The sequence below is a fragment of the Homo sapiens genome, chromosome 9, assembly GCF_000001405.40.
Source record: "Homo sapiens chromosome 9, GRCh38.p14 Primary Assembly".
Classification (NCBI taxonomy): domain Eukaryota; kingdom Metazoa; phylum Chordata; class Mammalia; order Primates; family Hominidae; genus Homo; species Homo sapiens.
The window spans coordinates 76,465,962-76,482,191 of NC_000009.12; the positions used below are offsets into that span (position 1 = coordinate 76,465,962).

Below are 16,230 nucleotides of genomic sequence, written 5' to 3' on the forward strand. Positions count from 1 at the left end.
TTGGATGTGTGTTTTGTTTGTGAGACATCCAAGTAAAGATGAGGAGTAGACAGTTGCTACTCCTGGAAGAGATCTGGGGTGGAGATACATGTTTGGGAGCTGTTGCATGTAAGTATTACTGCATAAAAAGCACTCATCCAAAGAGGGTGTAGAATGAGAAAAGAAAAGGGCTGGACCCGTAGAGTTTGATCACTGTATTTGGTAGAGGAAGAGAGGCCTGTTAAGGGTACTGAGAAGTGTGATATTCATGCAGGGCAGGGAGGAAATGAGGGGTCTATGATGTTTTGTTTTGTTTCAGATTGAGATGGAAGAAATTTAAACATGCTCTAATGCTACTGGGATTTTGTTTGTTTTGTTTTTGACAGGATCTCTCTCCATTGCCCAGGCTGGAGTGCAGTGGCACAATCTTAGCTCACTGCAACCTCCACCCTCTGGGGCTCATGCCATCCTCTCACCTCAGCCTTCAAGTAGCACCAAGGGTGTACAGCACTACGCCTGGCTAATTTTTGTATTCTTTTTCTAGAGACGGGTCTCACCATCTGTGTTGTCCAGGCTGGTCTCAAATTCCTGAGCTGAGGCAATCTGCCCACCTTGGCTTCCCAAAGTGTGGGATTATAGGCATGAGCCACTGTGTCTGGCCACTACTGGGAATTTTCTGGTAGAGAGGAAGAGCCTAAAGATGCAGGAGGGTAAAATAAATGATAGGACCAGTTTTCAGAGAGGGTGAGAACACAGTGCAGAATTTGGTCTTTGATGGAAGGACGGAGGGAGAGGATGGATAAAGATGCTTTAGATTTTGGGTCCAGAATCGTGAGGACTTTTTCTGAAGGAAGTGGCAAAACCATTGGCTGAGTTTGGGGTGTGTCTGTGTGTGCAGTCAGATATTTCTTCAGCCAGCATTTAGTAAGCATTTTCTAGTGCCAAGCTTTGTGTTTGGCTCCCTGGAAAGTGTTATGAATGATGATTACCTTGAAGCTTGGCCCTGTACACCTGAAATAGCCTTGCACCACTTTTTCTACAAATTGCTTCCTACCTTTGACCTTACAGGCTTGTTAACTAAAGGCAGTAAATGCTCAGCTGATCTTTTTTTTTTTTCTTTGAGATGGAGTCTTGCTCTGTTGCCCAGGCTGGAGTGCAGTGGCACGATCTCAGCTCACTGCAACCTACGCCTCCCAGGTTCAAGCGATTCTCCTGCCTCAGCCTCCCAAGTATCTGGGACTACAGGCACCCGCCACCGCGCCCAGCTAATTTTTTGTATTTTTAGTAGAGATGGGGTTTCACCGTGTTAGCCAGGATGGTCTCAATCTCCTGACCTAGTGATCCACCCGCCTTGGCCTCCCAAAGTGCTGGGATTACAGGCGTGAGCCACCTCACCCAGCCTCAGCTGATCTTTTGATGGGCATCAAAGCCACTAGGGGTGACAGTCCTGGAGGGGAAGGACCTTTTCAAGCCCCTTCCACATCATGCAGGTTCATGTTCCATGTCATGGTTCTCGGTGTTGGCTATACATTAGGAACACCTGTGGAACTTTTAAAAAAACCTGACACCCAGGTCAAACTCTATATCAATTCCATCAAATCTCTGGTAGGGGGACTCGTTATTGGTCCTTTTTGAAAGCTCCCTGGTGGTTGCAGTGTACAAACCAGATTGAGAGCTACTTGCCTGTTGAGTGGCCCTGAGTCCAGTTAAAGCCACTCTTCTGTGTTGAGCTCCAGCCCCTGCTGCCTGGAGTTTACTGCATTTGTCAGTTGTGTGGAACAGAAAATAAGGCTGAGACCAATTGTGTAGGACAGAAAACGAGGTTGAGATTATATTGGTATCCAAAGCAGGAAGCGAAGGACAGTCCTTTGGGGGTGTTGAAAGGAAGTGTAAGAACCTCTATTTATAATTTTATAAGCATTTAAGGTCAAGAATGCCAGTGGTCCCTCTTTCAGTGTTTTTTTTTTTTTTTTTTTTTTTTTTTTTGAGACAGTCTTGCTCTGTCGCCCAGGCTGGAGTACAGTGGCACAATCTCAGGTCACTGTAACCTCCACCTCCCAGGTTCAAGCAATTGTCCTGCCTCAGCCTTCTGAGTAGCTGGGATTACAGGCACATGCCACCATGCCTGGCTAATTAGTAAATACAGGGTCTCACCATGTTGACCAGGCTGGTTTCGAACTCCTTAACCTCAGGTGATCCGCCTGCCTGGGCCTCCCGAAGTGCTGGGATTACGGGCGTGAGTCACCGCGCGCCGACCCTCCTTCAGTCCTGTGTCTTGTACGGTGAATGTGGTTTCTAAGGTGGATAAGGAGGCAGGGATTCCTTGCCTAGCTGGAGCCCTGCTCACCTGGCCATCAAGCATACTGTGAGATGTTGCAAGTTAGGAGCTATAGAGTGTCATCGAGTTGTTTAATTTTAGAAACACAAAGGCTTTAAATTAGAGCATCTCAGGTTAGACTTGTCCCTGAGCGGGTGATAGGTGTACTGAGATACTGCATTTCTCTCAGCCCTCTCCCTTAAGCCAAGAGAGCTGAAGCTGATGTTTGATGGTTACCTTTTGGTATATATGTCATGGCATGAGAAAGAATCACTGCTTTAGTCTGTAGAAGCTTTGTCGTCCTTTGCCATGCCCTGGGGAGGGAGCAGGACCATCCTTTGCACCCATCAGAGCATTCCTAGTTCTTTTGTTGCCAGATACGTAAGAGTGGTTGAGTTTACAGGTGTCTGCATCTCTCTTTAGCAGAAAGATGGGGTTTCAAATGTGTTGCCTCTTTCCAATTTTGCTATGCCTATCAGTAGTCAGATATTTTGGGGAGAAGGGAAAAATCCAAGGTAAATGTGAGGTTCTTACAGTGAATTACTTTTCAAAAGAAATTTCTGCTACCAAGGGGCATTTGGGAAGTGGCTGTGTGGAGAAGTTTTCATTGTAATGCGAACATATTGCCAAAAAATATTGTACATTTGTGAGTTATCAAAGCTCTCAAAGGAAAAAAAATTAAAAACTGGGAAACAGAATTGTCATACTACTTTAATTGAAAAGTAACAATGAGTTTTTAATCCATTTGTTAACTTTATGGGGCACCTGCAGACTATTTTGATTAGTCTTTACAATTGATTGAAACCCACTGGGCAAATTTCGCCAAAAAACTATGTGATTGGTGGATAGAGGAAACTAAGTGTCAAGATTTAGGTAGCAGAGCCAAGAGTGCACTACTATAATTGAAGTAATAAGTTTTATTGCATCCTCCAAGTTTTTGAATTATGATACATGTAATTTATTAGTACAATAGTGAGAGACAGGACTAGCTGGATTTCCTAGGCCCACTAAGAATCCCTAAGCCTAGCTGGGAAGGTAACCGCATCCACCTTTAAACATGGGGCTTGCAACTTAGCTCACACCCGACCAATCAGGTAGTGAAGAGAGCTCACTAAAATGCTAATTAGGCAAAAACAGGAGGTAAAGAAATAGCCAATCATCTATTGCCTGAGAGCACAGCGGGAGGGACAATGATCAGGACATAAACCCAGGCATTCCAGCCAGCAACGGCTACCCTCTTTGGGTCCCCTCCCTTTGTATGGGAGCTCTGTTTCCACTCTATTAAATCTTGCAACTGCACTCTCTTCTGGTCCGTGTTTGTTACGGCTTGAGCTGAGCTTTTGCTTATTGTCCACCATTGTTCTTTGCCGCTGTTGCAGACCTGCCACTGACTTCCATCCCTCTGGATCAGGCAGGGTGTCCGCTGTGCTCCTGATCCAGCGAGGCGCCCATTGCCGCTCCCGATCGGGCTAAAGGCTTGCCATTGTTCCTGCACGGCTAAGTGCCTGGGTTCATCCTAATCAAGCTGAACATTAGTCACTGGGTTCCACGGTTCTCTTCCATGACCCATGGCTTCTAATAGAGCTATAACACTCACCGCATGGCCCAAGATTCCATTCCTTGGAATCTGTGAGGCCAAGAACCCCAGGTCAGAGAACATGAGGCTTGCCACCATTTTGGAAGTGGCCTGCCACCATCTTGGGAGCTCTGGGAGCAAGGACCCCCTGGTAACAGTAGTAGATACATAGAATTTTTAAATAAACATACTTATATTAAGGGTACTCTTAGGGTCTATACTAAGAAATTTTGCATGCTTGTCATTAAAAGCTTTGAGTCCAAGTCCTGTGTGTGTGTATATGACTTTGACTCTAAGTCAAGTGTAAATGTAACTGTATAGATATGCCATGTATATAATGTAAATAAAATATATACATATATTTATAAATAAGGCAGTCTGAAAACTTGCTTGCTGGTGAACTTTAAAACAGCCTCTTTCTCGTGATATACCCCTCCAGTTTATCCAGTGGAAAAGAAAATTACTGCTGGATTAAAAACAAGTGCTTAGGCTAGGTGTGGTACCTCATGCCTGTAATTTCAGCACTTTGGGAGGTCGAGGCAGGCAGATCGCTTGAGCCCAGGAGTTCGAGACCAGCCTGGGCAATATGGTAAAACCCCATCTCTACATAAAAATACAGAAATTAGCTGGGTGTGGTGGTGTGCGTCTGTAGTCCCAGCTACTCAGGAGGCTGAGTTGGGAGGATTGCTTAAGCCCAGGAGTCGAGGCTGTGGTGAACTGTGATTGGGCCACCACATTCAAGCCTGGGTGACAGAGCAAGACCCTGTCCCAAAAAAAAAAAAAAAAAAAAATGCTCAAACTAAAGAGTGATAAATACATTGTATACATGTCTTGTTTCTCTTGAAATGTGTACATTTTATCATTCCATAATGTATACATCTATCAAAACATCACATTATACCCCATAAATATATACAATTATTATTTGTCAATTAAAAATTAATTTTTTTTTAAAGCCACTTAATGTGCAATTTGCAGACGTCTTCTGGTTAGTCCAAGATTCAGCGGGGGTCAGGTGATCAAGAATTTCCTGAAATCAGCAGCTGGATCCAGGAATGGGCTTAGGACACCATCCCAGACTTTGGGGCCCGCCAGGCTTGTTTGTCCTCTTCATGTAAATGCAGAACTTGCCTCTGAAATATGCCTAATCCTTTCATATAGGTGGAGCCCCTGATCTCATCCATTGTCTACACATTTCTCACATCTGTTATGCTAACCAACACAGTCCTTGTATTCACCTTGTGAGGATCTGGTTCTCACACTACTTATGCTAATTAACAAAACCTCTGGTTTGCAATTAAAAATCCTGAAGCACATGCTATATCTGCTGCTGGAGTGCCCACCACCATGGCTGGCTGATTTTTGTATTTTTAGTAGAGACGGGGTTTCACCACGTTGGCCAGGGTGGTCTAGAATTCCTGACCTCAGATGATTTGCCCACCTCGGCCTCCTAAAGTGCTGGGATTACAGGTGTGAGCCACTGTGCCCTGCCACACTTGTCTGTCTTTATGCCTTTGTTTCTTGTAATTTATGGGACCACAGACTCCACCCCTATACTGAAGACCTAGTAATTGCTCCCAGAATTGCTCCCAGGAATGTGCTCCTGCCTGGGGCGCTTGACTTCCACAAACCCCAGGGTATAGATAAAAACCCGTGCATGTATGTCTCACTGCTATGCAGAAGTGTTTTTCAAGTCAGAAATAGACAGCCCACCAATTTTGTTGTTGATTACTTGTGGCAGAAAACTTATGAGTTCCCTGAAAATAAGAGGCATGGCTATAAAAATACAGGATTTAAAAAAACATGTATAAGTGGAAATTAGTACCTTTAACATAAGTGTTTTCCAAAGACATTTCTGACCATTTTGAGGCATGTCCTCTGTGCTGTATTCTCCTATTAGGAAAGACACCAGTTTTTGATGGTAGATGTGATTTTGCAGCATGTCAGAAGTTAGCATTATGAGGTAGATTGGTCATGCTCAGTAATATTATTTTGGGTCAAAATAAGATGTAAATTTTTTTTTCTTTTGAGACCAGTCTCGCTTTGTTGCCCAGGCTGGAGTGCAGTGGCATGATCACAGCTCACTGCTGCTTCTCCCCAGTCAGCTCAACTGGTTCTCCCACATCAGCCTCCCGTAAATATTTTTTAAAAATGGACTAGGGGCTGGGCATGGTGGCTCAGCCTGTAATGCCAGCACTTTGGCAGGCTAAGGCTGGCAGATCACTTGAGGTCAGGAGTTCGAGACCAGCCTGGCCAACATGATGAAACCTCGTCCCTGCTAAAAATTAAAAAAAATAGCCAGGTGTGGTGGCGTTCGCCTGTAATCCCAGCTACTCAGGAGGCTGAGGTGGGAGAATCACTTGAACCCGAACCCGGGAGGCGGAGGATGCAGTGAGTCAAGATCGCACCTCTGTACTTCAGCCTGGGCAACAGAGCGAGACTTTGTCTCAAAGAAAAAAAGGAAATGAGAAAAGAGAATGTGTGACTGACACCACAAAGAAATGTCAGATGTCTCTTTTGGGGTTCTGTGGGTGGCCCTCCCTCCCAAAAAAGTAGAATTGAGTGAAGGGAATGCAGTAGAGCGTGAAAGAACACATACCCACAAGGGTGAAGCTGCAGGCTCTGGTTAAAGGCAGCTTTCCACTAGATCTTGACCCTTATGCCCCAGGGCCTCAGCTTTTTCTTGAGTTACAGAGGAGGGTGCAACTTGGGGCTAGATGGACTTTTTTGTTATGGACTTGCCATATGCTCTTCTTGTAAGTTTTCTTTGTCATGTAAGTTTGAGAAATGCTGAATACCATGTCTCTGTCTTTAAATATTTACAGTAGACCTGACTGTCTTAAGGGCTAAGAAATAAGGAGCCAAACCAGCAACAGAGAATCTTGTCTTTCTTTTCTTTTCTTTTCTTTTCTTTTCTTTTTTTTTTTTTTTTTGAGATGGAGTCTCGCTCTGTCACCCAGGCTGGAGTGCAATGGCGTGATCTCAGCTCACTGCAACTTCTGCCTCCCAGATTCAAGTAATTCCCCTGCCTCATATTCCGGAGTAGCTGGGATTACAGGCGCCTGCCACCATGGCTGGCTAATTTTTGTATTTTTAGAAGAGACGGGGTTTCACCACGTTGGCCGGGGTGGTCTAGAATTCCTGACCTCAGATGATTTGCCCACCTCGGCCTCCTAAAGTGCTGGGATTACAGGTGTGAGCCACTGTGCCCTGCGACACTTGTCTGTCTTTACGTCTTTGTTTCTTGTAATTTATGGGACCACAGACTCCACCCCTAGCCTGAAGACCTAGTAATTGCTCCCAGAGCTGCTGTTTCCAGCAACACTAGATGCTTCCTGAAGTTTCTTTCAGCTCTACAATGGATGCATTGTTCTAAAAATAGTTTCTAACTATATTGACCAAGCCTATAATTTCCTCCAGAAACCTCAGCATATAACCTCTGAGTGAATTCCTGGAGAGCAGGGAGCATGTATTATTTATGTTTGTATTTTTCTCCCCAGAGCCTAGGAATCTATTTTGTATAATAGATTCTCAGTATAGAATTGAGTATATTGAAGTATTTGTTAGTAAACTGGAAATATGGATTTTCATTTTTGAAGTCTGAAAAAGTTACCCTTAGACATGAGCTCAGATTTGAACAAAAGTCAAAAAAGGGAAAATAATGAATAATAATACATTGCCAATATTAAGGGCTCATTATTTGTCAAATACAGTATAAACATGTTACAAGTTAGCTCACTTACTCTTTATAAAAACTCTAAGGTATATATGATAATTTCCCCAATGAAATTGTTTAAAGTTAATTAGTTTTTTAAAAAAACAACAAAAACGCTGAAGCTAGGAGAGGCTAAGAATTTGCTGAAGTTTGGGTTGGGGAATGATGACTCCCAGGTCTCCTGCTGGGGCAGTCCGGTTGGAGAGCTGAAATCATTGCCACTGTACTCTTCTGTGTCTCAGATGTAAACAAACCCAAGAGAAAATATTCAGGACTGGGCACAGTGGCTCACACCTATCATCCCAGCACTTTAGGAGGCCTAGGTGGATCACTTGAGCCCAGGAGTTCAAGACCAGCCTGGGCAACAGTGCAAGACCTTGCCTCTACAAAAAATATAAAAATTAGCCAGGCATGGTGGCATGTGCCTGTACTCCCAGCTACCCAGGAGGCTGAGGTAGAAGGATCGCTTTGAACCTGGGAAGTCGAGGCTGTAGTAAGCTTTGGTTACGCCACTGCACTCTAGCTTGGGTAACAGAGCGATACCCTGTCTCAGAAAAAGAAAGAAAAGAAAAGATTCAGCCACTAGTAATCAAAGAAATCACAAAGTGAAACCTTGATGATGTACCATTTTACAGTTGCAATATCGGCAAAAATAATTATACAGTATATTCATATACAGTCATTTAACATTATATATAATTAAAATGTATAGTAAATGTAGAGAAAATGGTATCCAGATGTTACTGGGGACAGTATAAGTATCGTTTATTTGGAAGGCAGACAAGAGGCACAGAAACTTACAAGTAGTGACCTAAAATCCTTATTCCTGGGAATTCCAAGGAAGTCCTTTAAAAGCAAAGCAAAAACAAAGCTATGAATATACAAAGCTATTCATAGTTCATATTTATAACAGTATAATTTGGAAATACCCTTAATATCCAACCATAAGATAAACTAATTGTGACAAAAACAAATGATATTTTGATAGCCAATAAATCAAAAAAGAATAGAAAATGAAATCCCTGCTGCTATTACATCTGAGCAAAAATATAAGTGTATTGTGCAATGTTACGTACCAGAAGAGAACATGGAACGTGAACGCAGAGGATGTGTAAGTGAAGTTAGATTGTCAATGGATTTTTGTTTTTGGGAAATTATATGCTTTGCAAATATATTTAATTGGAGCTTATTTTGGAGAACTGTCACCATTTTATCCCAGTTGGCAATTTTTAAAGAAAATTACTGAAGTGAACATAAAAAATGGAAACATTTCAGAAGTGTTTGAATAAACATCCCCTCTCCAAAAAAGAAGATCCTCACTGAATAGTTTTGGGTGTGTGCTTCTCAGTTTTTCCAGTGCATGTTTATAATATATTTATCTGGAGGCTGGTTTTTTTGTTTGTTTTGAGACGGAGTCTCGCTCCGTTGCCCAGGCTGGAGTGCAGTGGCACGATCTCGGTTCAAGCGATTCTCCTGCCTCAGCCTCTTGAGTAGCTGGGATTACAGGTGCCCGCCACCACGCCCGGCTTTCTCTGAACATACTGAGGTGCAGCTCATCTTTGAATACCACATCATCTCACATACCTCTTTTCATGTCATTACAATGAGAATTACTTCATTCTTGGCTTTAGTGCTAATTTCAAATTCAATAACTGTACCAAAATATAATTTAGATGATGTGGAAATGGAGAATAAAGATTGCCGCTCAGGTTTATGAAGCTGTTTAAAGGGCACATTCACAGCTTAGATCACAAATCAGTCCCTGAGGGTTGAAGAGGTTGCTCTGATGTGTCTTAACACTGAAGCCTCCAAAAAGAGAATCTGTAACATTCATATTCGCAGGAAGATTTGGGGGATTCCAGAGCTCCTCTCTGGAAAAGACTATGAGCTATAAGGCACACTTAACACAAAGCATCCAAGATGCTGCCCTACATTTTTTGGGAGAAAGGAAGTGGATTTTGTAATATTTGGACATTTGATGTTTTTTATTTTTATTTTTTGAGTTCATGCTAATTGAATAGACCCACGGAGTAGTGTGGGAGACAAGCCTGAGACTTGACCGAGGCCACTAAGGGCTCTCCAAAGCACCCACATGGATAGCTTCACGGAGACAGAGTGATGTGGGATTCAGTGCTGAAGTGAGAGACGACGATAATTCCTGTTTATTGAGCATGTGCTGTGTGTACCAGTCACTGTGCTTGGCACTTTACAGATTACTTAAACATCACTGAACAAATGAGAGGAGTCATTACCATATCTCCATTTTTCAGATGAGGAAACTAAGGCTCAGAGAGGTTAAGCAACTTGCGGAAACCATGCATTTAGGAAGTAACTAACATAGGCTATGTCTTCACTTCTGTTTGACTTCACACTTCTGTTTTGCTCCGTGGCCTCCAACAGTGAATGATGTTGATTTCAAAGAGGGGCAATCATTGTGGTTTGGGAAAGGACCAGAGGAAGGAGTTGAGCTGGATTTTGAACATGTAGAGGAAATTGGGGAGACAGTGCTTTTTATTTTTGCTAATGGTTAGCCTTTTGCCATCTGGAATAAGGATACTTAATCTGACAGTCACATTTAGCAAACTGAAAATCCAGATTTGAGGGCTATCTCTAAAAACAAGGAATCTAGAATTTGGGAACTAGCATTTCTAAGACCAAGCCATTTAGGAGGCTCAAGTACTTAAAATTGGGACCGTTCAGAAAACCCAAGACGTGTGGCCCATGTGACACACAGGATGGGTGACCTCAGGGCCAAAAACCCAGGGCCACCTAATCTTTAAGAGGGGACAAAATGAACTTTAATTTTCCAATCCAAAATTTTGTTTCCATAAAACCGTGGTGTTCTATTTGGTATTATAAACTGCCTACTTTTAGATTTGAAAAAAAAAAAGAGAAAAAGAAAAAAGTCCATTACTCTTCAGTGTGGAATTTCAAAGTAGACAATGAGATCTTTTATTCTCATTTTTGGCCTGCAATGATAATGAGGTTGAAGATTGCTATTTAAAAAAAAAAACACTGTTTGTTTTCTGTATGTATATATAAACAGATATTTCTGCTCAAGCCCATCAAAGTCAGCCTCTGCAAATGAAGTCTCCTGCCTGAGAGGACAGGTTTTTTCCATGTAAAACTGTGTTTCGCTGTTACTTATACTTTAAGCAAATTGGGGTAACAGTAAATGTGCACAGGCAGTCGGAAACACACTGGCCTTTTGGAGAAACTTGGACAACCTTTGTTCTTTTATCTCTAAACTTTCATGACACTAAACTCAAAAAGGTTATTTTTCAGACAACCTGCGGTCATACCTACTTATATTTCCCTTATTCTAATATATTGTTCTTCACTGTCTTCTCTTAAATTAATTTTATTTATTTATTTATTTGTTTAGACAGAGTCTTACTCTGTCACCAGGCTGGAGTGTAGTGGTGCAATCTTGGCTCACGTTTGAAACCTCTGCCTCCCAGGCTCAAGCGAGTCTCGTGCCTCAGCGTCCCGAGTAGCTGAGATTGCAGGTGTGCACCACCACGCCTGGCTAATTTTTGTATTTTTAGTACAGACGGGGTTTCACCATGTTGGCCGGGCTGGTCTCGAAATCCTTGCCTCATGTGATCTGCCTGCCTTGGCCTTCCAAAGTGCTGGGATTACAGGCACGAGCCACTGCGCCCAGCCTCTTAAATTAATTTTTAAAAGCCTCTTCTGGGGCCTGGAGTGGTGGCTCACGCCTGTAATCCCAGCACTTTGGGAGGCCGAGGCGGGTGGATCACGAGGTCAGGAGTTTGAGACCAGCCTTGCCAACATGGTGAAACCCCGTCTCTATTAAAAATACAAAAATTAGCTAGGCATGGTGGTGCGTGCCTGTAGTCCCAGCTACTCAGGAGGCTGAGGCAGGAGAATTGCTTGAACCTGGGAGGCAGAGGTTGCAGTGAGCCTAGATCATGCCACTGCACTCTAGCCTGGGCGACAGAGTGAGACTCTGTCTCCAAAAAAAAAAAGCCTCTTCCATGTAACATTCTTCATCTCATTCACTTACCTGCTCTGAAGGTGCATCTAGTCACGTCGTAGTAAGACAGCTGCATCTTTTAAAATCATAACAAAGAGACTGAAAACTCCCAAGGTTAAATCTGAGGAAATTCAGTGCATTAAGCATATTTGCACTGTTGTGCAGCCATCTCACCCTAGCCATTCCTAGAACTTTTCATTATCCCAAACAGAAACTGTACTCATGAAAACAGTAGCTCCCCATTCTTCCCTCCCCCAGCTCTGGAAACAACCATGCTACTTTCTGCCTCTGCGCATTTGACTACTCTAGGTACCTCTGTAAGTGGAATCCTAGTGAGAGGTGAAGCCAGCTGGGCTTCTGGGTTGAGTGGGGACTTGGAGAACTTTTGTGTCTAGTTAAAGGATTGTAAATGCACCGATCAGCGCTCTGTGTCTAGCTCAAAGATTGTAAACGCACCAATCAGCACTCTGTAAAAATGCACCAATCAGCGCTTTGTAAAATGGACCAATCAGCACTCTGTAAAATGGACCAATCAGTGCTCTGTAAAATGGACCAATCAGCAGGATGTGGGTGGGGACAAATAAAGGAATAAAAGCTGGCCATCCCAGCGAGTAGCGGCAACCTGCTCAGGTATCCTTCCATGTAGTGGAAACTTGGTTCTTTTGCTCTTCACAATAAATCTTGCTGTTGGTCACTCTTTGCGTCCGCACTACCTTTATGAGCTGAGAGGGTCTGTGGCTTCATTTGTGAAGTCAGAGAGACTATGAACCCACTGAGAGGAACAAAGAACTCCGGGCATGCCATCTTTAAGAGCTGTAACGCTCACTGCGAAGGTCTGCGGCTTCATTCCTGAGGTCAGGGAGACCACGAACCCACGGGAAGGAAGAAACTCAGGACACATCTGAACATCTGAAGGAACAAACTCCAGATGCATCATCTTTAAGAGCTGTAATACTCACCGGGAGGGTCCGCAGCTTCATTCTTGGTGAGTAAGACCCAGAACCCACCAGAAGGAATAAATTTCAGACACAATAGCATATCTGTTTTATTGTGTCTGACTTACTTGAGTTAGCATAATGCCTTCAGGATTCATTCATGTTGTACCCTAAGCCAGAATTTCATTCCTTTTTAAGACCAAATACTGATCCGTTGTATGGATATACCACATCTTGTTTATCACGTGCTTTTTCTTAACCATTAGGATGGTCTTCATTCAGATACAATGCAATCATGGACATTCCTTTGGCTTTCAAGGGAATTAATGAAATTTGTATGGGTAAAGCCATATATGTATTTCTAGCAATACATTTTATTTATCTATTTTTATTGTATTTTAAGTTCTAGGGTACATGTGCACAATGTGCAGGTTTGTTACATATGTATACATGTGCCATGTTGGTGGGCTGCACCCATTAACTTGTCATTTACATTAGGTATATCTCCTAATGCTATCCATCCCCCTTCCCCCCACCCCACAACAGGCCCTGGTGTGTGATGTCCCCCTTCCTGTGTCCAAGTGTTCTCATTGCTCAATTCTCACCTATGAGTGAGAACATGCGATGTTTGGTTTTTTGTCCTTGCGATAGTTTGCTGAGAATGATGGTTTCCAGCTTCATCCATGTCCCTACAAAGGACATGAACTCATCCTTTTTTATGGCTGCATAGTAGTCTATGGTGTATATGTGCCACATTTCTTAATCCAGTCTATCATTGTTGGACATTTGGGTTGGTTCCAAGTCTTTGCTATTGTGAATAGTGCCGCAATAAACCTACGTGTGCATGTGTCTTTCTTTATAGGAGCATGATTTATAATCCTTTGGGTATATACCCAGTAATGGGATGGCTGGGTCAAGTGGTATTTCTAGTTCTAGATCCCTGAGGAATCGCCACACTGTCTTCCACAATGGTTGAACCAGTTTACAGTCCCACCAACAGTGTAAAAGTGTTCCTATTTCTCCACATCCTCTCCAGCACCTGTTGTTACCTGACTTTTTAATGATTGCCATTCTAACTGGTGTGAGATGGTATCTCATTGCAGTTTTGATTTGCATTTCTCTGATGGCCAGTGATGATGAGCATTTTTTCATATGCCTGTTGGCTGCATAAATGTCTTCTTTTGAGAAGTGTCTGTTCATATCCTTCGCCCACTTGTTGATGGGGTTGTTTGTTTTTGTTTGTAAATTTGTTTGAGTTAGATTCTGGATATTAGCCGTTTGTCAGATGAGTAGATTGCAAAAATTTTCTCCCATTCTGTAGGTTGGTTCTTCACTCTGATGGTAGTTTCTTTTGCTGTGCAGAAGCTCTTTAGTTTAATTAGATCCCATTTGTCAATTTTGGCTTTTGTTGCCATTGCTTTTGGTGTTTTAGACATGAAGTCCTTGCCCATGCCTGTGTCCTGAATGGTATTGCCTAGGTTTTCTTCTAGGGTTTTTATGGTTTTAGGTCTAACATTTAATTCTTTAATCCATCTTGAATTAATTTTTGTATAAGGTGTAAGGAAGGGATCCAGTTTCAGCTTTCTACATATGGCTAGCCAGTTTTCCCAGCACTATTTGTTAAATAGGGAATCCTTTCCCCATTTCTTGTTTTTGTCAGGTTTGTCAAAGACAAGATAGTTGTAGATGTGTGGTATTATTTCTGAGGGCTCTGTTCTGTTCCATTGGTCTATATCTCTGTTTTGGTACCAGTACCATGCTGTTTTGGTTACTGTAGCCTTGTAGCATAGTTTGAAGTCAGGTAGTGTGATGCCTCCAGCTTTGTTCTTTTGGCTTAGGATTGACTTGGCAATGCGGGCTCTTTTTTGGTTCCATATGAACTTTAAAGTAGTTTTTTCCAATTCTGTGAAAAAAAGTCATTGGTAGCTTGATGGGAATGGCATTGAATCTATAAATTACCTTGGGCAGTATGGCCATTTTCACGATATTGATTCTTTTCCTCCTGACAAATTTACAGTTTTCCGCTTTGTGGCATAGACTGAGGGTGTATTTCATCTTTCCTGCAAAGTCAATAGGCAGAAAGGGTAGGTGTCAGTTCTTCCCCCAGGCTGTCAGCTGGTGTGTCCCTGGTGTGCCTTTGGGAGAGAGAGCATGGGGAAAGAGGATGCTTTTTCTTCTGTTAACGTGCTAATAAATACTATTTTCATTAATGAGTGAAATGCAAGGGTTATTTAAATGACATTTTGTCTCAAAGTAGTATAATGATTACAAGAAAAAAATTCTGTAGAACTTTTCATGTCATTAATTCAGGCATGGAGAACTGATATTTTTTCTTCTGTATGTAAACTACACAGATGAAACCTAATTTTATTTAATTTCATCTAACTTAGAGGCATCAAATTTCATTATGTATTTTAACATTTTTTATATAATTATAAAATATGTTTTAATATAGGATTACTCAGAAAAAAAAAATAGCTGGGCGTGGTGTCTCACGCCTGTAATCCCAGCACTTTGGGAGGCCAAGGTGGGAGGATTGCTTGAGGCCAGGAGTTCGAAACCAGCCTGGCTAACATGGTGAAACCCCATGTCTACTAAAAATACAAAAATTAGCCAGATTGGTGGCGTGTGCCTGTAATCCCAGCTACTCAGGAGGCTGAGGTTGCAGTAAGCTGGGATTGTGCGACTGCACTCCAGCCTGGGCAACAGAGCAAGACTCCGTCTCAAAATAAATAAATACATATATATATATGGGATTAAATGGTGAGTGGAATTGTAAAAAGAAAATAGGAATGGAGAAAAGGAAATTCCTGTACCCCTTCTGCTTGATCAAGACTTTAGGACAAGCTTGTCCAACTCACTGCCAAGGATGGCTTTGAATTCTGCCTGATATACATTTGTAAACTTTAATACATGAGATTTTTTTTGTGATTTTTTTTTTTTTAAGCTCATCAGCTATTGTTAGTGTTAGTGAATTTTATGTGTGGCCAAAAACACTTCTTCTTTTTCCAGGGAATAAGGCCCAGGGAATCCAAAAGATTGAACACCCCTGCTTTAGAACATTGATTTGTATCAGTTATATATAAAAGCTGATTAGCCATCTTTATAGGTCTTAATTTTATCACTACCTGTAAGGCTTTTTAAAAATGTAGTTCTTATTTTAATTAGAGTTATAAATGCACGTGATTTAAAAAAGAAGATATTTCCACAAGCGTGTCAAGAACTACGAAGGGTCTGAGATTTTACCCTACTTGAAAGTTAACAAGCCTGTTAACAATTTTCATGGATCCTGGCAAAAGACACAGACTCCTGGGCCAGAGATGAAGTGCCATTTATGACCTATATTAAGCAGTAGCAGAGGATCAGCATTTTTCTTTTAGGTTGCTAGAGCCTTAATTCCCACAGGGCAGTATGAAGAGGGCCAAGTGATAACTACAAACAGTGGGTTGCATTATGGGAAAGAAACCCTGAGCTTAGAGAAGCCAAATCTTTTATAGTGGGCAGTAAGCATGCTGTGCTTTGCCCCAGGTAACATTGTCTTTATTATATTGTCAGTAAGAAGGTTTGCCCTTTGCTAGGGAGGGAAACACCATCTCTGTCTTTCTAGGCTGTTTGCTATAAAAATAGCCTTGAAAAAATTATCTGGAACAAAAAGACAGTGCCTCACTTGCAAGATGTACAGAAATGCAAGCCACCCATGGCGAATTGCCT

General features: G+C 42.2%; 1 protein-coding gene across 10 annotated transcripts in view, besides 6 other annotated features; it reads left to right on the top strand.

Annotated features, from left to right (window-relative positions):
- GCNT1 (glucosaminyl (N-acetyl) transferase 1) overlaps positions 1–16,230 on the top strand; it is a 113,548-nt gene that overhangs the window by 72,093 nt on the left and 25,225 nt on the right. Inside the window, exon 1 of one of the 10 annotated variants that reach the window (NM_001097635.2) lies at positions 12,380–12,569. The exons of the other annotated variants lie outside the window; for them this stretch is intronic. The gene's annotated coding sequence lies outside the window, so the exon portion shown is untranslated. Of the gene's footprint in view, positions 1–12,379; positions 12,570–16,230 lie in introns of those variants that run through there. 10 annotated transcript variants of the gene reach the window in all.
- Positions 4,526–5,187: an enhancer, noted in NCBI's record as "NANOG-H3K27ac hESC enhancer chr9:79085403-79086064 (GRCh37/hg19 assembly coordinates)". NCBI's record gives its function as "activates a minimal SCP1, AML or CMV promoter by ChIP-STARR-seq in naive H9 embryonic stem cells {active_cell/tissue: H9 hESC(naive)}" and the evidence as "EXISTENCE:reporter gene assay evidence [ECO:0000049][PMID:30033119]".
- Positions 4,526–5,201: a biological region, named in NCBI's record as "NANOG-H3K27ac hESC enhancer GRCh37_chr9:79085403-79086064".
- Positions 5,112–5,201: an enhancer, noted in NCBI's record as "active region_28475". NCBI's record gives its function as "activates an Ori minimal core promoter by ATAC-STARR-seq in GM12878 lymphoblastoid cells {active_cell/tissue: GM12878}" and the evidence as "EXISTENCE:reporter gene assay evidence [ECO:0000049][PMID:35858748]".
- Positions 5,222–5,291: an enhancer, noted in NCBI's record as "active region_28476". NCBI's record gives its function as "activates an Ori minimal core promoter by ATAC-STARR-seq in GM12878 lymphoblastoid cells {active_cell/tissue: GM12878}" and the evidence as "EXISTENCE:reporter gene assay evidence [ECO:0000049][PMID:35858748]".
- Positions 6,003–6,272: an enhancer, noted in NCBI's record as "active region_28477". NCBI's record gives its function as "activates an Ori minimal core promoter by ATAC-STARR-seq in GM12878 lymphoblastoid cells {active_cell/tissue: GM12878}" and the evidence as "EXISTENCE:reporter gene assay evidence [ECO:0000049][PMID:35858748]".
- Positions 6,623–6,702: an enhancer, noted in NCBI's record as "active region_28478". NCBI's record gives its function as "activates an Ori minimal core promoter by ATAC-STARR-seq in GM12878 lymphoblastoid cells {active_cell/tissue: GM12878}" and the evidence as "EXISTENCE:reporter gene assay evidence [ECO:0000049][PMID:35858748]".